This window comes from Homo sapiens, chromosome 2, assembly GCF_000001405.40.
Source record: "Homo sapiens chromosome 2, GRCh38.p14 Primary Assembly".
Taxonomy (NCBI): domain Eukaryota; kingdom Metazoa; phylum Chordata; class Mammalia; order Primates; family Hominidae; genus Homo; species Homo sapiens.
This window is the reverse complement of record NC_000002.12, coordinates 233,733,118-233,753,557: the sequence shown is the minus strand read 5'-3', so window position 1 is coordinate 233,753,557 and position 20,440 is coordinate 233,733,118. Positions and strand designations below refer to the sequence as shown.

The 20,440-nt window shown below is 43.6% G+C and overlaps 8 protein-coding genes, 2 pseudogenes and 1 further gene across 10 annotated transcripts in view; 1 reads left to right on the top strand and 10 right to left on the bottom strand.

The window, feature by feature from the left end:
* Positions 1-20,440, bottom strand: part of UGT1A (UDP glucuronosyltransferase family 1 member A complex locus) — a 187,861-nt gene that overhangs the window by 19,742 nt on the left and 147,679 nt on the right.
* The window catches only part of UGT1A8 (UDP glucuronosyltransferase family 1 member A8), a 155,668-nt gene that overhangs the window by 19,743 nt on the left and 115,485 nt on the right, over positions 1-20,440 (bottom strand). The window lies entirely within an intron of this gene.
* UGT1A10 (UDP glucuronosyltransferase family 1 member A10) overlaps positions 1-20,440 on the bottom strand; it is a 136,853-nt gene that overhangs the window by 19,743 nt on the left and 96,670 nt on the right. The gene's annotated exons all lie outside the window — the stretch shown is intronic.
* Positions 1-20,440, bottom strand: part of UGT1A9 (UDP glucuronosyltransferase family 1 member A9) — a 101,403-nt gene that overhangs the window by 19,743 nt on the left and 61,220 nt on the right. The gene's annotated exons all lie outside the window — the stretch shown is intronic.
* UGT1A7 (UDP glucuronosyltransferase family 1 member A7) overlaps positions 1-20,440 on the bottom strand; it is a 91,400-nt gene that overhangs the window by 19,743 nt on the left and 51,217 nt on the right. The gene's annotated exons all lie outside the window — the stretch shown is intronic.
* The window catches only part of UGT1A6 (UDP glucuronosyltransferase family 1 member A6), an 81,599-nt gene that overhangs the window by 19,743 nt on the left and 41,416 nt on the right, over positions 1-20,440 (bottom strand). The window lies entirely within an intron of this gene.
* Positions 1-20,440, bottom strand: part of UGT1A5 (UDP glucuronosyltransferase family 1 member A5) — a 60,394-nt gene that overhangs the window by 19,743 nt on the left and 20,211 nt on the right. The window lies entirely within an intron of this gene.
* Positions 1-20,440, bottom strand: part of UGT1A4 (UDP glucuronosyltransferase family 1 member A4) — a 54,565-nt gene that overhangs the window by 19,743 nt on the left and 14,382 nt on the right. The window lies entirely within an intron of this gene.
* The window catches only part of UGT1A3 (UDP glucuronosyltransferase family 1 member A3), a 44,259-nt gene that overhangs the window by 19,743 nt on the left and 4,076 nt on the right, over positions 1-20,440 (bottom strand). The gene's annotated exons all lie outside the window — the stretch shown is intronic.
* UGT1A2P (UDP glucuronosyltransferase family 1 member A2, pseudogene) lies at positions 5,018-6,419 on the bottom strand (annotated as a pseudogene).
* DNAJB3 (DnaJ heat shock protein family (Hsp40) member B3) lies at positions 9,560-10,808 on the top strand (annotated as a pseudogene). Its single transcript, NR_172931.1, has one exon. The product of NR_172931.1 is annotated as a DnaJ heat shock protein family (Hsp40) member B3 (transcript).

The following is a 20,440-nucleotide window of genomic DNA, read 5'->3' as shown; positions in this document are numbered from 1 at the left end:
TAGGGTCACCTCTGAGGAAAAGTTTGCATGAGAGCAAAAGGGCAACAACTAGACAGGCTGAAAAAAATTAAGAGCAGCATGCTGGTAATTTTTTACAGAAAAATCATGGCCTGAACACATCATTAACCAACAAATACTGTGACAATGGGTTTGGATATGCTCTAGTACCCTCAGAGTCCAATCTGCATGGAATGGCACCCAAGTAATAAACAGCAGGAAAATGGCAGTCAGCTGGCACCATCCCACAGGGGCACACGGGGTCTCACACTGAACTCTGAAATCAACATGCTCCAAGGTGCCTGGGTAGTTGCTTCTTAAATAATAACTATACAAGAAGTATCAAAATAAGACAGACTGTCAGGGCTTTTGAAAAATGAGTTCATTTTTTAGTGATCCGGATAAGGGAACTTACATGTGTGAAGATACTCACTGAGTAGTTTGCTGGGGATGGGTTTGCTTATGGAGCCGTTCAGGAATAAAAGGAGTTTTGAGGTGGGAGGAAGGCATGGGAACAGTTTCATGGTAGTTTTTTGTGTTGTAAATCACCACTCTGGGTAGGATAGAATGAGTGGGTTTGTATCTACACAATTGGTTACATAAATCCCATTGTTCAGTGGTCAGCAAAGAGTGGCATACCAGTGTCACTCAGAGGTGGATCTGTAACAACGCTGGCTAGTTTTAACAGTTGAAAGCTAACACAAAGTTCAAATTTTGATATATCCTAGATTACTGATGTCATAAATGGGAAGTGTTCCTTCTACAGAAGTGTAAAGCTTGTTTGGTTATTGTTTGTTTGTTTGTTTGTTTGTTTTAGAGACAGGGTCTCTCTCTGTAGCTGTTGCCTAGGCAAGATCATACCCCACTAGTAAACATGAATTTCTGGGCTCAAGTGATCCTTCCTCCTCAGCATTCCCAGTAACTAAGACAACAGCTACCACACCTAGCTAATGTTTTTTTAAAAAAAATCTTGTAGAGATGGGAATGATGTTGACCCACTATGTTGTCCCAGCAAGAGCATTTTATTTAAAGAATTTTTAGAATTGAAAAATCGCTTTTTAAAATGTCTCATCTCAAAAACATAACACTGCTAGAGGCCTATATGTGGGTATTCATCTTTTATAAAAGGGTTCGATAAATCAGGTTTTCAGAATGGAAAAAGGGGCATTTCCTCTGTTGCAAAGATGACCCTCTTGAGACCCCTAAAATGAATTTCCTCCATGGAAACACTTGTTCCTTCTCACCAAGCACACCGGGCAAGGAAAGGCATGACCCTGTGAGCCCCAAGAGACCTGGAGTCCTGTGACCATCACAGTAGGGTCCAAAAAACCAAAATGCCAGATATTTTTTCTGGCTGGAGTTCAACACAGCTGATTTTAATTCAGCTTACATCACACACTAGAAAGCATCTAGAAGAGGGAATGATCCTTTCTGTCCATCATCTTCTTCTCCTCTGATTCTACTTTCTGTCTCCAAACAGGTAGAGAGACTTCCCCATCTCGGGAAATCATTCACACAACAGCTTACCTTTCTAGGAATTTCTAATTCCACTTTCTCATCAACTTTCTCAATAAATGCAGATTCATTTCCTTTTCTCAGACTCTCCTTTAAACCCTTTCAGTATAACTTCAATCACCACCAATCTTGTATTAGTCTGTTCTCACACTGCTATAAAGACATACCCAAGACGGGGTAATTTATAAAAGACAAAGGTTTAAATGACTCAGTTCCACATGGCTGGGGAGGCCTCAGGAAACTTACAATCATGACAGAAGGTGAGAGATAAGCAAAGTCATGTCTCACATGGCAGCAAGCAAGAGAGAAACAGAGAGGAAGAGTTCACTTGTGAGTGAAGGAGGAAGAGCCCCTTATAAAACCATCAGCTCTCATTAGAACTCACTCAGTAGGATGAGAACAGCAAGGGGGAAACTGCACACATGATCCAATCACCTCCCACCAGGTCCCATCCTTAACACATGGGAATTATGGAGATTACAATTTGAGATGAGATTTGGGTGGAAACACAGAGTCAAACCATATCATTCTGCCCTCTGGCCCCTCCCAAATCTCATGTCTTTTCACATTTCAAAACCAATCGTGCCTTCCCAACAATCTTCCAAAGTCTTAACTCATTTCAGCACTAGCTCAAAAGTCCATAGTCCAAAGTCTTATCTGAGACAAGGCAAGTCCCTTCCCCCATGAGCCTGTAAAATCAAAAGTAACTTCCAAGACACAATGGGGGTACAGAAATTGGGTAAATATTCCCATTCCAAATGGGAGAAACTGGCCAAAAAAAGGGGGCTACAGGCCCCATGCAAGTCCAAAACCAGGCAGGGCAGTCATTAAATCTTAAAGCTCCAAAATTATCACCTTTAACTTCATGTCTCATATCTAGGTCATGCTGATGCCAGAAGTGGGCTCCCACAGTCTCAGGCAACTTGGACACTGTGGCTTGCAGGGCAAAGCCCTCCTCCTGGCTGCCTTCAGAGGCTGGCATTGAGTGTCTGTGTCTTTTCCAGGCACACAGTGCAAGCTATTGGATCTACTATTTGGGATTCTGGAGGATGGTGGCCGCCTTCTCACAACTCCACTAGGCAGTGCCCCAGTGGAGACTCTGTGTGGGGGCTCCAACCTCACATTTCTTTACCACCCTTCTCTAGCAGAGGTTCTCTATAAGGGCTCCATCCATGCAGCAAACTTCTGCCTGGACATCCAAGCATTTCCTTACATCCTCTCAAATTTATGTGGAGGTTCCCAAACCTAAATTCTTATCTTCTGTGTACCCACAGGCCCAACACCACATCGATGCTGCCAAGGCTTGAGGTTTGCACCCTCTGAAGCAATGGCCTGAGCTCTACCTTGGCCTCTTTTAGCCATGGCTGGAGCCACTGGGACACAGGGCACCAAGTCCTGAGGCTGCACACAGCAGGGGGAGCATGGACCCAGCCCACAAAACAATTTTTCCTTCCTAGGCCTCCAGGCCTGTGATGGGAGGGTCTGCTGCAAAGGTCTCTGATGTGCACTGAAGCCATTTTCCCCATTGTCTTGGCAATTAACATTTGGCTCCTCCTTACTTATGCAAATTTCTATAGCCAGTATTTCTGTAGCTGGTTTGAATTTCTCCCCATAAAATGGGTTTTTCTTTTCTACCACATGGTCAGGCTGCAAATTTTCCAAACTTTTATGCTCTGCTTCCCTTTTAAACATAAGTTCCAATTTCAGATCATCTCTCTGAAGTTCAAAGTTCCACAGATCTCTAGGGCAGGGGCAAAATGCCACCAGTCTCTTTGCTAAAGCATAGCAAGGGTGACCTTTGTTCCAGTTCCCAATAAGTTCCTCATCTCCATCTGAGACTCAGCCTGGACTTCATTGTCCACAACATTATCAGCATTTTGGTCAAAACCATTCAACAAGTCTCTAGGAAGTTCCAAACTTTCCCACATCTTCCTGTCTTCTTCTGAGCTCTCCAAACTGTTCCAACCTCTGCCTGTTACCCAGTTCCAAAGTCACTTCCACATTTTCAAGTATCTTTATAGCAGTACTCCACTCTCCATGGCACCAATTTAATATATTAGTCCATTCTCACACTGCTATAAAGACATACCCAAGACTCGGTAATTCATAAAGGAAAGAGCTTTAATTGACTCACAGTTCCAGGTGGCTGGAGGGGGGAGCCTCAGGAAACTTATAATCCTGGCAGAAAGTGAGAGAGAGGCAAAGACACGTCTTACATGAAAGAGAGAAAGAGGAAGAGCTTGCAAGTGAAGGGACAATGGCCCCTTATAAAACCATCAGATCTCATAAGAACTCACTCACTATGATGAGACCAGCAGGTGCGAAACTGCCCCCATGATCCAATCACCTCCCACCAGATCCTGTCCTTGACACGTGGGGATTATGGGGATTACAATTCAAGATGAGATTTGGTGGGGGATACAGAGCCAAATCATGATAAATCTAGTGTGACTTCATGTTGAGACAGAGTCAGTGGCCTCACTATTGAATACATTAGCCTGTTCTTTACCACACTCGAAAATTAGCCTTGCTAGTGTTCTCTAATTCTCTAAGGGGCATAGCAAGAGTGATCTGTGCCACAGTTCCCAATTCGTTCTGCTCCACTGAGATGACAGTGAAGTTTTGAGCAATGTAGTTAACACTAGAGAATATGTTCACATTGAAAAACTGGAAGAAAAGGGCAAGAGTCACTATTTAAATTCCATCCCACTTTTCAACATTGTTACAAATCTAATAAACACATATTTTATAATTGAATAACTACACTGCATAAGGGAGAAAATCACCAATAAAAAAATCATGTGGTTTGATTTTAAAAAATGAAGCTTAGAGTGTTTGGCAATAATACCTATGTTAATAAAAAGAAGTACAGAAATAAAAATACAAAAGGATCAAGTCATGGAAGTTCATATGCATTCAGTGAATATGACATAAAAAGGCTGAATTCTCTCATGAAATACATGGCACACCAAGGAATAAGAAACAATATTCAGGTCCCAGAGTACCACATCAATGAACCCCAAATATTCTGGATTAAAGAAAGCTGCCTTTGAAATTGTTGGTAAAGAAGTAGATCCCACTATAGAAACTTGGAGTGGGATAGGGTGGGTTTGGTGATATGTTCAGCTTCACCTGAGAAACACTTCCCTTCTTGGACACATGTCCATTCATCACCGTCCCCAGCTTAACTGGGCTTATACGCTCACAGTTTTATCTCCTCCCTAGACCCTTCCACAATTTCTTGATAATTTCAGCATTCCAAGTAGAAGACCCAATTGACCTGCAACCAAAACTATGCCTTCCGAACTCTGAGATGTCCCCACATCATGCACCAGACCCCAAATCCTGACCAGAAAAATCTTTTGTCAGCACAGATCCCTCTCTGGAAACTGAACTCAGTGTGTAATTCTATAATCACAGACATATATCCCACGTTCGTTGCTCTACTTCCACTGAACTGAGTCAACCTCTTTAACACTTCTACTTCCTGCGAGTGCTTAGGTCTCCTGTGGTCACCTCTCTATCATTCGCAAGACAGGACCACTAAAAATTATCACATTAACAATTGTAATTTGCTGTTGCATCATCTTTCCCCTGAAAATTGTGCAAACAAAAAATCCAGATGGGTCAAGTCTCAATGTAGTGTCCCTGCTCCTTCCCAATGAAGGACATGCACAACCATGAAGATGGTGCCTTTACAAACGAACAGTCTCCATGAGTCACATCAGTCCTAGTCCATCCTTTGATAAACATTCATGTCTGCCTCTTCTTCCTCTCATTGACCATTTAAAACCTGAAATACGCTACTAGAGACCCCTTAACAGTTTATCTCACTGAAGGCTATTACGACAAGCAGAAATAAAAGCACCAGAAAGATAAGTAGATATGGAAGCAATTGTAAGTAAATACAATTTTTAAAAACTGTTTTGCCTGGAACATTGATTGGATGAAGGCACGAACACCGACCTGAGATAGTGGCTTCCTGTTGGCACAGTTGATGCCCCCAATGAAGACCATGTTGGGCATGATCGGCCTGGGGTAATCCATCACAAAGTCCCCTCGGAACAGCCACACAGATGCATGGCTGAGAAGATCCACCACTGACACCTCCCTCTGAAAAAGCTCAGAGGCAAGGCTTGCATAAGGAGCAGAAAGAGCATGGCAAAGGTAGGACAGGGCCAGAGGGTAGAGCATGTTCTTGACCCTTTGCAGGAATGTCATGTGGTCTGAATTGGTCGTTAGTAACTTAGGAATATAGGAGGAAGGATTTGGACACTGTGTGCCCTTAAAGTCTAAATCACATGGAATGTTCCTCAAAAAAAACACAGCAGGAATTGATAGGTACTTAGCCAGCACTGCCCCACAGAGGTAAATTGGGTCTATTAAAACCACATCGAAGGAAGTAGCATTCAGGTGCCTGATCAGGGCCTCATTATGCAGTAGCTCCACACAAGACCTATGAAAGACCAAAGATGAATTTTTCAAAATTGCCATACTTTTAGAAAATGTCTTCAGAAAATGTTCTGTTTCAAAGTACAGTTGAGTGTGGCCCAGCACAAGGCGATCAAATTCATCCTGGGTCCATGAAATGGCATAGGTTGTCAGGGTGAAAAATTTCTCTTGTTTGATGTGCATATTCACCTCTGGGGTGAGGACCACCGCCTGGTGGCCTCTGGCATGGAGCTCCCGCACGGCCTCCCGCATGCGAGCCAGTGGCTGCCATCAATGGGTACCACCAGCACCTTCCCACTCTCAGCCCAGGGCTGGGCACTGAGAAGGAGTAGCACTCCTGTGGCCAGCCACAGCAGGGGAACCTGGGGTCCTGTGGCCATCTCAGCAGAAGACACGGACAGCTGACTGTCCACCCCACGCTGTGCCTCCTACATTTGTTTTCTTCATCTTAATTACCTTGTCACTGAGCCACTTAGCAAATCATCATGTAATTGGAAGATAGAGTGCTCTCCTCCTAGTTAATTATTACCGATTAACCAATCATTGTCTTTCATTATGGGTCCCACTTCGGGAAAGACCGATCACTCCTACTTGAAAAACTCATCTGACCCTGCGCTCGCTCTGGGGAACATCCAAGTTCAAGCTCTTGTTTCTCATCCAATTCCCAACAAAGGCCTGTGGAAACCCATTTCATGTCACAGCCTCCTACTTCTCTGTTAACCACGTTTATCAGGCTGCAGCTGAGGTCTGAGAGGTCCCCAACAGTGGTAGGCAATAGTAGGCAATCCACATTCACGCTCATGAATTACAACAGAAAACCACTACTAAGCAATCCAATTAATCTCTGCTTTGGAACCAAAGCAGAATCCATTGCTAATTCCCTTATCCACCAAATATTTATGGAATGTGTGAGCCCTACCTACTATGCTAGGAACTCGGGACAGAAAGCCAAGTTAGAAATGGTCCTTGCCTGAAAGGAGGGGTCAGGTGAACAGAGACAAACTCACAACTAGGCAATTACAGGGTGTGGTGCTCTAGGGGCTAAGAAGTCACACAGCAGGGCAGCAATATGATGGTCTTGCTTTGGGGGCTACTAAAGAGTGACATGTCCATGGAAAGTGTTTCTGGAACCCTTTTGAAGGTACTTTCTTTTTAAGCTGAAGACATAAGTTAATAGGTCACCATTGGACACACTCCCAGCTCCTTTCATCAAATCAGAATGAAGGGACTTGTTACTAAAGGAGCAACATAAACATGTCCATTGCCCTGTAGATCATCTACAGGGCCCTCCAAGGGAAACAAAGCCACCTTCCTTGAATCCCCACAGCGTTTTGTTCTGTTCTGCCTTGTATCTTTTAGCAGTTTGCATATCTGTCCTTGCTATTAGAGTATAGCTATATCCTATACATATATTCCTTACAGGCAAGATTTTGGCTTTGGAATCATGCTATCACTCAGGTGCCAGTCCACAGTTTTGCAGACAGTAAGCACTCTGGACATGTTTCTGTATAGAAGTGACTCCTCTTCTCTTTTCGTTCTAGACCCTGCATCCAAGCCAGCAAGTAAGTGCTGAATCTGGATGTTTCTACCACTGTCTCTCAGACCCAGCTGTCATGGTCCCATTTCAGGGCCCCTGTCCCCCAGTTGCCCAACCCCCAGCTGTCCCTTCTGAATCACTGCCTCAGCTGCTCCCTGAAAAACGCCACCCCACCAACACTTCTGGAACCTTGGTCAGCAGCTTCCTGGGCACAGAAGAAAATTCAGAGTCCTCTGCCTTGCTCTCAAAACTCTGGGATAGACCCCAGCCCCCCTGTCTAAGCTCATTCCTCCTCTCCACCCCTTCTGCTTGCCCCCTCCCTCTGCCTCTTACCCTCCAGCCATTCTGGATCACTTGTTGTTCTCCAAACTTGCTTTGATGTTCCCAAATTGCTTTGTTCACACTGAACTCTACCCTCGGCCAGCTTTCTATGACTGTTCATTGTGTGCTTACCAAGTGCCAAGTCCGGGTCTCAGGTTATGTCACTAGAGGCTATATAAACTTAGAAGTTTGTTCTGGTGACATAACACATCCCCATTAGACCTAATACCCTATAGGAAATCTTAGAATGTTCTTTGGTTAATCATTTTCCCCTTAGAACTGAGTGACCTTTACTAGTGTATTGCCTCACAATTTATCAAAGAAAAGAATCCAGTGTCAAAAAGAGAATAAGGAGGTGAAGAGAACTCAGATCTCAAAAAAATTCCCCCAAAATTCATGGTCATGATATAGCAGTTCTAGTGGAAATAATCACTGCATCCCACGTTTATCCCCAGTGCTATACACACGGCCTGCAAGTCTTAATGGTTTCGATACAGTAAATAGTGCTGTATTTCCTTTTGTCTGAGAGGATCTCCCTGGTTGTTTTAGCAGTCAAGAAAAGTGAATAACATGCACATTTGACCCTCCATATACTTGGGCTTCACATCTGCAGATTCAGCCAACAGCAGATTAAAAATATTTGGGGGGAAGAGCAATGAAAAAACAATACAAATAATACAAATAAAAAACCAATACTGTAAAACAACTATTTACATAGCATTTACATTTATTAGGTAAAAGTAATCAAGAGATGACTAGAGGCTTAAAGAAGGATATTGGTAGGTTATATACAAATACTGTGTCATTTTATAAAAGGAGCTTGAGCATCTAGATTTTGGTATGGAGAGGAGGGTTGTCCTAAACTAATCCCTTCAGAATACCAAGGACTACTCTGCTAGACTAGCGATTCTCAAAGTATGAGCCAGGAAATCCTAGGGATCCCCAAGAATTTTTCAGGAGAATTTTGCAAAGTTAAAACTATTTCCATAATAATGCTACTTGATTTTTTCACCGTCATTCTCTCACAAGTGTACAGTGGAGTTTTCCAGAAGCTACATGGGTGATGTGTAATATCACAGTAGATTGAATACAGAAGCTGACATGAGAATCCACCTCTCTATAGAGCCAAGTACTAAAGAGAGATGCAAAAACTGTAAAACGATGCCACTCTTCTCACTACATTTTGTCTTAATAAAATTTACATAAAAATAAGATTTGCTATTGTGTCATGGGTTTATTCTTACTAAATTGCCCAATTAATATGTCTTTTTAATTCTGTTTTAATCTCTAATGCAGTACGTATGATAGATATAATCCACATGAACAAAAGCAAATGGGCACCGGGGCTGGAACGTTGGAGAACTGCAGTCCTAAACAACAGGATGTCTTCAGCCCCAGTCAGACTAAACTCACTCCCACCACCCTCTTCCCTCCTGTGGCCGAGGAAAAAGACTGATATAAAGCCTACTTTAAGAAAAACAGTTCTTCAGGCAGCCAAAGTCAAGGCCCTCTCTTTTCCCCAACCTCTTTTTCCCATCCTTTTTGGAGACCATGGCTGGTTGGAGGCCGGAGTGGGCGGGGCCTGGTCTTGGAGCATCACAGGGCCTCACAGAGCCTCACAGAGAGCAGGGCCAGTCCCAGAAGCACTGCATCTTGGGATGCGAGGCGCTCATAGGCCTCGACCAATGAGATGTGGCTGCGTCATAAGGGGCGTCTCTCCAGGCGGCCCAGGTCTCCGAGCACTCGGGCCTGCGCCTGGGTGCTGGCAGCCTTGCCGCTCGCTGTGCCAGTGCCTGGTGGGCCGTTCTGGCCATCCAGCATGGTGGACTACTACGAGGTGCTGGACGTGCCCCGGCAGGCCTCATCCGAGGCCATCAAGAAGGCGTACCGCAAGCTGGCGCTCAAGTGGCACCCCGACAAAAACCCTGAGAACAAGGAGGAAGCGGAGAGGAGATTCAAGCAGGTGGCCGAGGCCTACGAGGTGTTGTCGGACGCCAAGAAACGCGATATCTATGACCGCTATGGCGAGGCGGGGGCGGAGGGCGGCTGCACAGGCGGCAGGCCCTTCGAGGACCCCTTCGAGTACGTCTTCAGCTTCCGCGACCCAGCCGACGTCTTCAGGGAGTTCTTCGGCGGCCAGGACCCATTCTCCTTTGACCTCTTGGGAAACCCGCTGGAGAATATTTTGGGGGGGTCAGAGGAACTGCTGGGGAAGCAGAAGCAGAGCGTCTGCACCCCTTTTCTCTGCCTTCAGTGAATTTCCAGCTTTTGGGGGTGTTTTTTCTTCTTTTGATACAGGATTTCGTTCCTTTGGCTCCCTGGGAAGTGGGGGCCTTTCTTCCTTCTGCATGTCCTACGGTAGTGATGGGACAGGCAGCTTCAAGTCCATGTCGACTTCCACTGAAATAGTTGATGGTAAAAAAATCACCACCAAGAGAATCATTGAGAATGGCCAAGAAAGGGTGGAAGTGGAGGAAGATGGAGAGTTGAGTTAAAGTCCTTCATAATAAATAGCAAAGAGCAGTTACTCCGCATTGACACCAAGTAATTCCAGTCCACATTTGACTTTAAGCACATCTGGAGGAATAGCGGACTTTTTTTAGGATTGAAAGTGAACTTTACTTTCAGAACAGCTGTACCCAAGAATTTATAAACACTTCATGCCAACACCTGTTCTTATCGTTGGGACTACACGGATAGGACCTCTGTTTGTCTTTCAATCGTTGTAAAATATCTGTATGCAATTTGCTATTTATTAAACTTAAGCCTGAGGCAGACAATGATTATTTGCTAGTGGTAGGACAGAATGTTCAGTTCAGCACTTTGAGCATTACCTTTTTCCGTTGGGAAAGTGTGAGCCAGGTGGTTTGCTCTAAATCATTTGACTTTATTGTTTAGTGTGTAGTGGTGAAATCTACAAATAATATCAATACTTCTGGCTTAATTTAATGATGGTTCAAAACAACATGCATTTATTATCTTAATATTTTGGAGGTCAGACATTTGAATCCCATATCACTGAGCTGAAATCGGTGGAAGCATGTTCCCTCTGAAGGCTGAGGACAAACCTTGGGGTTACATGGTTGGTCGGTGGTATACTAGGACTGTCTTCAGCCTGAACGTGGTTCTCCAACTATGGTAGGTTGCTGGGGATAAGCCCCCAATTCCGGCCAGAAGCTGGCCCCTAAACTGGCCATAAACAAAATCTCTGCAGCACTGTGACGTGTTCATGATAGCCATGATGCCTATGCTGAAGGTTGTGAGTTTACTGGAATAAGGGCAAGGAACACCTGGCCCACCCAGGGAGGAAAACCGCTTAAGGTGTTCCTAAACTACAAATAATAACATGAGCCATCTGTGCCTTAAGGACATGTTTCTGCTGCAGATAATTAGCCAGAGCCCATCCCTTTGTTTCCCGTAAGGAATACTTTTAGTTAATCTATAATCTATAGAAATGATGCTTATCACAGGCTTGCTGTCAATAAATATGTGGGTAAATCTCTGTTTGGGGCTCTCAGCCCTGAAGGCTGTGAGTCCCCTGATTTCCCACTCCACACTCTATATTTCTGTGTGTGTGTCTTTAATTCGTCTAGCGCTGCTGGGTTAGGGTCTCCACGACCAAGCTGGTCTTGGCAGTGGGTCCTGGAAATGTAAAAAAAGGATCTCCATAAGGCCACACAGAACTATCCTATTGCTATGCTTGGGACATATCAAATTAGGTTGATGAAAGCCAAGTGTATCTGTAATATTTTTTGGGTGAGGCACCATAAACACAACAAGAAAGTACCTTTCTGTTGGCACAGGTTATGCCCCAAATGAAGACCTTTTCCATCACAAAGGGTCCCTTCTTCTAGGGTCACCTCTGAGGAAAGGTTTGCATAAGGCATGAGAGCAAAAGGCAACTGAACTGGATAGGCTGAAAAAAATTAAGAGCAGCATGCTGGTAATTTTTTACAGAAAAATCATGGCCTGAACACATCATTAACCAACAAAGAGTGTGATATGGGTTTGGATATGCTCTAGAACCCTCAGAGTCCACTCTGCATGTAATGGCACCCAAGCAATAAACAGCAGGAACATGGCAGTCAGCTGGCACCATCCCACAGGGGCTCATGGGGTCTGACACTGAACTCTGAAATCAACATGCTCCGAGGTGCCTGGGTAGTTGATTCTCATACAATAACCATAAAAGAAGTATCAGAATAAGACAGACTGTTAAGGCTTTTGAAAAATGAGTTCAGTTTTTTGTACATCAGACGAGGGAACTTACATGTGTGAAGATACTCACTGAGTAGTTTGCTGAGTAGGTTTGCTTTTGGAGCAGTTCAGGGATGAAAGGAGTTTCAAAGTGGTAGAAAGGCATGGGCAGTTTCATTGTGGTTTTGTGTGTTGGAAATCACTACTCTGGGTAGAGTAGAATGAGTTGGTGTGTATCTACACAATTGGGTACATAAATCCCATTGTTCAGTGGTCAGCAAAGAGTGGCATACCAGTGTCACTCAGAGGTAGTGGGTCTGTAACAACTCTGGCTAGTTTTAACAGTTGAAAGCAAACACAAGTTCAGTTTTGATATATCCTGGATTAGTGCTGTCATAAATGGAAAGTGTTGCTTTTATAGAAGTGTAAAGCTTGATTGTCTGTTTGCTTGTTTGTTTTAAAGACAGGGTCTCGCTCTGTAGCTGTTACCTAGGCAAGATCATAGCTTACTGTAACCACGAATTCCTGGGCTCAAGTGATCCTTCCTCCTCAGCATTCCCAGTAGCTAGGACTACAGAAATGCTACCACACCTAGCTAATTAAAAAAAAAACTTTTTGTGGAGATGGGAACAATGTTGACCTACTATGTTGTCCCTGCAAGAGCATTTTATTTAAAGAATTTTTAGAATTGAAAAATCTCCTTTTAAAATGTCTCAGCTCAAAAACAGAACAGTGCTAGAGCCTGTTATGTGGGTATTCATCTTTTATACAACGGTTTGATAAGGTTTTCAGAGTGTAAAAGGGGGCATTTCCTGTGGTGCAAAGATGACCCTCTTGAAATCCCTAAAATGAACACCCTCCATGGAAACACCTGTACCTTCTCACCAAGTACACTGGGCAAGGAAAGGCATGACCCTGTGAGCCCCAAGAGACCTGGAGACCTGTAACCATTTCATTAGGGTCCCAAAAAACAAAATGCCGGACATTTTTTCTGGCTGGAGTTCAACACAGCTGATTTTAGTTCAGCTTACATCACACACTGGAAAGCATCTGGAAGAGGGAATGATCCTTTCTGTCCATCATCTTCTTCTCCTCTGATTCCACTTTCTGTCTCCAAACAGGTAGAGAGACTTCCCCATTTTGGGAAATAATTCACACAACAACTTACCTTTCTAGGAATTTCTAATTCCACTTTCTCATCAACTTTCTCAATAAATGCAGATTCATTTCCTTTTCTCAGACTCTCCTTTAAACCCTTTCAGTATAACTTCAATCACCACCAATCTTGTATTAGTCTATTCTCAGCCTGCTATAAAGACGCAGCTGAGACTGGGTAATTTATAAAAGAAAGAGGTTTAATTGACTCACAGTTCCACATGACTGGGGAGGCCTCAGGAAACTTACAATCATGACAGAAGGTGAGAGATAAGCAAAGGCATGTCTCACATGGCAGCAGGCGAGAGACAGAGAGGAAAAGCTTGTGAGTAAAGGAGAAAGAGTCCCTTATAAAACCATCAGCTCTCATGAGAACTCACTTAGTATGACAAGAACAGCATGGGGAAAACTGCCGATATGATTCAATCAGCTCCCACCAGGTACCAACCTTAACACATGGGGATTATGGAAATTACAATATGAGATGAGATTTGGGTGGAAACACACAGTCAAATCATATCATTCTGCCCTCTGGCCCATCCCAAATCTCATGTCTTTTCACATTTAAAAACCAATCATGCCTTCCCAACTGTCCTCCAAAGTCTTAACTCATTTCAGCACTAGCTCAAAAGTCCATAGTCCAAGGTCTCATCTGAGACAAGTCAAGTCCCTTCCCCCATGAGCCTGTAAAATCAAAAACAAGTTAGTAACTTCCAAGACACAATGGGGGTACAGAAATTGGGTAAATGTTCCCATTTCAAATGGGAGAAACTGGCCAAAACAAAGGGGCTATAGGCCCCATGCAAGTCCAAAACCAGGCAGGGCAGTCATTAAATCTTAAAGCTCCAAAATAATCTCCCTTGACTTCATGTCTCACATCTAGATCAAGGTGATGCCAGAAATGGGCTCCCACGGTCTCAGGCAGCTCCAACCCTGTGGCTTTGCAGGGTAAAGCCCTCGTCCTGGCTGCTTTCAGAGGGTGGCATTGATGTCTGTGGCTCTTCCAGGCACACAGTGCAAGCTATTGGATCTGCCCTTCTGGGTTCTGAAGGACTGTGGCCTTCTTCTCACAACTCCACTAGGCAGTGCCCCAGTGGAGACTCTGTGTGGGGGCTCCAACCTCACATTTCTTTACCACCCTTCTCTAGCAGAGGTTCTCTATAAGGACTCTATCCATGCAGCAAACGTCTGCCTGGACATCCAAGCATTTCCTTACATCCTCTAAAATTTATGTGGAGGTTCCCAAACCTAAATTCTTATCTTCTGTGTACCCGCAGGCCCAACACCACATCGATGCTGCCAAGGCTTGAGGTTTGCACCCTCTGAAGCAATGGCCTGAGCTCTACCTTGGCCCCTTTTAGCCATGGCTGGAGCCACTGGGACACAGGGCACCAAGTCCTGAGGCTGCACACAGCAGTGGGGGCCTGGACCCAGCCTAAAACACCATTTTTCCTTCCTAGGCCTCCAGGCCTGTGATGGGAGGGTCTGCTGCAAAGGTCTCTGACATGCCCTGGAGCCATTTTCCCCATTGTCTTGGTGATTAACATTTGGTTCCTCCTTATTTATTCAAATTTCTTTAGCTAGTATTTCTGCATCTGGCTTGAATTTCTCCCCATAAAATGGGTTTTTCTTTTCTACCACATGGTCAGGCTGCAAATTTTCCAAACTTTTATGCTCTGCTTCCCTTTTAAACATAAGTTCCAATTTCAGATCATCTCTCTCAAGTTCGTAGTTCCAAAGAGCTCTAGGGCAGGGGCAAAAATGCCACGAGTTTCTTTGCTAAAGCTTAGCAAGAGTGACCTTTGCTCCAGTTCTCAACAGATTCCTCATCTCTATCTGAGACTCAGCCTGGACTTCATTGTCCACAACATTATCAGCATTTTGGTCAAAACCGTTCAACAAGTCTCCAGGAAGTTCCAAACTTTCCCACATCTTCCTGTCTTCTGAGCTCTCCAAACTGTTCCAGCCTCTGCCTGTTACCCAGTTCCAAGTCACTTCCACATTTTCAAGTAGTTTTATAGCAGTACCCCACTCTCCATGACACCAATTTACTGTATTAGTCCATTCACACACTGCTATAAAGACATACCCAAGACTGGGTAATTTATAAAGGAAAGAGCTTTAATTGACTCCAGTTCCATGTGGCTGGAGGGGCCTCAGGAAACTTATAATCCTGGCAGAAAGTGAGAGAGAGGCAAAGACACGTCTTACATGAAAGAGAGAAAGAGGAATAGCTTGCAAGTGAAGGGATAAGGGCCCCTTATAAAACCATCAGATCTCATAAGAACTCACTCACTATGATGAGATTAGGAGGTGGGGACCTCCCACCATGTCCTGTCCTCAACACGTGGGGATTATGGGGATTACAATTCAAGATGAGATTTGGTGGGGGACACAGAGCCAAACCATATTAAATCTAGTGTGACCTCATGTTGGGAAACAGTCAATGGACTCACTACTAAATACACTAGCCTGTTCTTTACCACACTCGAAAATTAGCTTTGTTAATGTGGAATTCTTAAGGGGCATAGCAAGAGTGACCTGTGCCACAGTTCCCAATTTGTTCTGCTCCACTGAGATGATAGTGAAGATTTGAGCCAATGTAGTTAACTCTAGAGAATATGTTCACATTGAAAAACTGGAAGAGAAAAGGAAAAAAAAAGGAGGTGTTGGAGAGGAGAACGGAAGCTTCAGCACCAATGGCCAAATAGGAACAGCTCCGATCTGCAGCTCCCAGCATGATCGACGCAGAAGATGGATGATTTCTGCATTTCCAACTGAGGTACCTGGTTCATCTCATTGGGACTGGTTGGATAGTGGGTGCATCCCACTGAGGGCAAGCCGAAGCAGGGCAGGGCGTCGCCTCACCTAGGAAGTGCAAGAGGGTGAGGGATTTCCCTTTCCTAGACAAGGGGAGCCATGACAGACTGTACCTGGAAAAACGGGACACTCCCACCCAAATACTGTGCTTTTCCCAAGGTCTTATAAACTGGCAGACAAGGAGATTCTCTCCCCTGCCTGGCTTAGCAGCTCCCATGCCCACGGAGCCTTGCTCACTGCTAGTGCAGCAGTCTGAGATTGAACTGTGAGGCGGCAGCCTGGCTGGGTGAGGGGTGTCCGCCATTGCTGAGGCTTGAGTAGGTAAACAAAGCATCCAGGAAGCTGGAACTGAACAGAGTCCACCGCAGCTCAGCAAGGGCTACTGCCGCTATAGACTCCACCTCTGTGGGCAGGGCATATCTGAACAAAAGGCAGCAGACAACTTCTGAACATGTGGGGAACAGCAGACTTAAACATCCCTGTCTGACAGCTCTGAAGAGAGCACTCGTTCTCCTAGTATGGCATTTGAGCTCTGAGAATGGACAGACTGCCTCCTCAAGCGGGTCCCTGACCTCTGTGTATCTTGACTGGGAAACACCTCCCAGTAGGGGCCAACAGACACCTCATATAGGTGGGTGCGCCTCTGGTATGAAGCTTCCAGAGGAAGGATCAGGCAGCAATATTTGCTGTTCTGCAATATTTGCTGTTCTGCAGCCTCCACTGGTGATACCAAAGCAAAGAGCATCTGGAGTGGACCTCCAGCAAACTCCAACAGACCTGCAGCTGAGGGATCTGACTGTTAGAAGGAAAACTAACAAACAGAAAGGAACAGCATAAACATCAACAAAAAGGACATCTACACCAAAACCCCATCTGTAGGTCACCAACATCAAAGACCTAAGGTACATAAAACCACAAAGATGGGGGGAAACTAGAGCAGAAAAGCTGAAAATTCTAAAAACCATAGCGCATAAGCACATCTCCTCCAAAGGATCACAGCTCCTTGCTAGCAATGGAGCAAAGCTGGAAAGAGAATGACTTTGACGAGTTGACAGAAGTAGGCTTCAGAAGTTTGGTAGTAACAAACCTCTCCAAGCTAAAAGTGCATGTTCGAACCTATTGCAAGGAAGGTTGAACCTTGAAAAAAGGTTAGATGAATGCCTAACTAGAATAAACACTGTAGAGAAGACCTTAAATGACCTGATGGAGCTGAAAACCATGGCACAAGAACTTCATAACACATGCACAAAATTCAATAGCTGATTAGAGCAACTGGAAGAAAGGGTATCAGTGACTGAAGATCAAATTAATGAAATAAAGTGAGAAGACAAGGTTAGAGAAAAAAGAGTAAAAAGAAACAAGGAAAGCCTTGAAGAAATATGGGACTATGTGGAAAGACCAAATCTACGTTTGACTGGTGTACCTGAAAGTGATGCGGAGAATGGAAACAAGTTGGAAAACACTCTTCAGGATATTATCCAGGAGAACTTCCCAAACCTAGCAAGGCAGGCCAACATTCAAATTCAGGAAATACAGAGAACACCACAAAGATACTCCTCGAGAAGAACAACTCCAAGACACATAATTGTCAGATTCACCAAAGTTGAAATGAAGGAAAAAATGTTAAGGGCAGCCACAGAGAAAGGTCGGGTTACCCACAAAGGGAAGCCCATCAGACTAACAGCAGATCTCTCTGCAGAAACCCTACAAGACAGAAGAGAGTGGGGGCCAATATTCAACATTCTTAAAGAAAAGAATTTTCAACCCAGAAATTCATATGCAGCCAAAGTAAGCTTCATAAGTGAAGGAGAAATAAAATCCTTTATAGACAAGCAAATGCTGAGAGATTTTGTCACCACCAGGCCTGCCTTACAAGAGCTCCTAAAGGAAGCACTAAACATGGAAAGAAACACCAGTACCAGCCACTGCAAAAACATGCCAAATTGTAAAGACTATCGATGCTGTGAAGAAACTGCATCAATTAACGGGCAAAATAACCCGATAACACCATAATGACAGGATCAAATTCACTCATAACAATATTTACCTTAAATGTAAATGGGCTAAATGCTGCAATTAAAAAACACAGACTGGCAAATTGGATAAAGAGTCAAGGCCCATCGGTATGCTGTATTCAGGAGGCCTATCTCACATGCAGAGACACACATAGGCTCAAAATAAAGGGATGGAGGAAGATCTACCAAACAAATGGAAAGCAAAAAAAAAGCAGGGGTTGCAATCCTAGTCTCTGATAAAACAGACTTTAACAAAAATCAAAAGAGACAAAGAAGGCCATTACATAATGGTAAAGGGAGCAATTCAACAACAAGAGCTAACTATCCTAAATATATATGCACCCAATACAGGAGCACCTAGATTCATAAAGCAAGTTCTTAGAGACCTACACAGAGACTTAGACTCCCACACAATAATAATGAGAGACTTTAACATCCCACTGTCGATATTAGACAGTTCAACAAGACCAAAGGTTAACAAGGATATCCAGGACCTGAACTCAGCTCTGCACCAAGCAGACCTAATAGACATCTACAGAACTCTCCACCCTAAGTCAAGAGAATATACATTCTTCTCAGCACCACATCACACTTATTCTAAAACTGACCATATGATTGTAAGTAAAGCACTCCTTAGCAAATGTAAAAGAATAGAAATCACAACAAACTGTCTCTCAGACCATAGTGCAGTCAAATTAGAACTCTGGATTAAGAAACTCACTCAAAATCGCACAACTACATGGAAACTGAACAACCTGCTCCTGAATGACTACTGGGTAAATAACGAAGTGAAGGCAGAAATAAAGATGTTCTTTGAAACCGACGAGAACAAAGACACAACATACCAGAATCTCTGGGACACATTTAAATCAGTGTGTAGAGGGAAATTTATAGCATTAAATCCCCACAGGAGAAAGCAGGAAAGATCTAAAATCAACACACTAACATCACAAATAAAAGAACTAGATAAGCAAGAGCAAACAAATTCAAAAGCTAGCAGAAGGGAAGAAATAACTAAGATCAGAGCAGAACTGAAAGAGATAGAGACACAAAAAAACCTTCAAAAAAATCAATGAATCCAGGAGATGGATTTTGAAAATTGATAGACCTCTGGCAAGACTAATAAAGAAGAAAAGAGAGAAGAATCAAATAGACGCAATAAAAAATAGTAAAGGCAATATCACCACCGATCCCACAGAAATACAAACTACCATCAGAGAATACTATAAATACGTCTACACAAATAAACTAGAAAATCTAGAAGAAATGGATAAATTCCTGGACACATACACCCTCCCAAGACTAAAGCAGGAAGAAGTTGAATCTCTGAATAGACCAACAACAGGCTCTGAAATTGAGGCAATAATTAATAGCCTACCAACCAAAAAAAGTCCAGGACCAGATGGATTCACAGCCAAATTCTTTTTATTATTATTATTATTATTATACTTTAAGTTTTAGGGTGCATGTGCACAATGTGCAGGTTTGTTACATATGTATACATGTGCCATGTTGGTGTGCTGCACCCATTAACTCGTCATTTAACATTAGGTATATCTCCTAATGCTATCCCTCCCCGCTCCCCCTACCCCACAACAGGCCCCAGTATGTGATGTTCCCCTTCCTCACAGCCGAATTCTACCAGAGAGGTACAAACAGGAGCTGGTACCATTCCTTCTGAAACTATTCCAATCAATAGAAAAAGAGGGAATCCTCCCTAACTCATTTTATGAGGCCAGCATCATCCTGATACCAAAGGTTGGCAGGGACACAACAAAAAAAGAAAATTTTAGACAAATATCCCTGATGAACATCGATGCAAAAATCCTCAGTAAAATTCTGCAAACCAAATCCAGCAGCACATCAAAAAGTTTATCCACATCGATCAAGTCGGCTTCATCCTTGGGATGCAAGGCTGGTTCAACATATGCAAATCAATAAATGTAATCCATCACATAAACAGAACCAATGACAAACCACATGATTATTTCAACAGATGCAGAAAAGGCCTTCAACAAAATTAAACATCCCTTCATGCCTAAAACTGGCAATAAACTAGGTATTGATGGAAGTATCTCAAAATAATAAGAGCTATTTATGACAAACCCGCAGCCAATATCATACTGAGTAGGCGAAAACTGGAAGCATTCCCTTTGAAAACTGGCACAAAACAAGGATGACCTCTCTCACCACTCCTACTCAACATACTGTTGGAAGTTCTGGCCAGGGCAATCAGGCAAGAGAAAGAAATAAAGAGCATTCAATTAGGAAAAGAGGAAGTCAAATAGTCCCTGTTTGCAGATGACATGATTGTATATTTAGAAAACCCCATTGTCTCAGCCCAAAGTCTCCTTAAGCTGATAAGCAACTTCAGCAAAGTCCCAGGATACAAAATCAATGTGCAAAAATCACAAGCATTCCTATACACCAA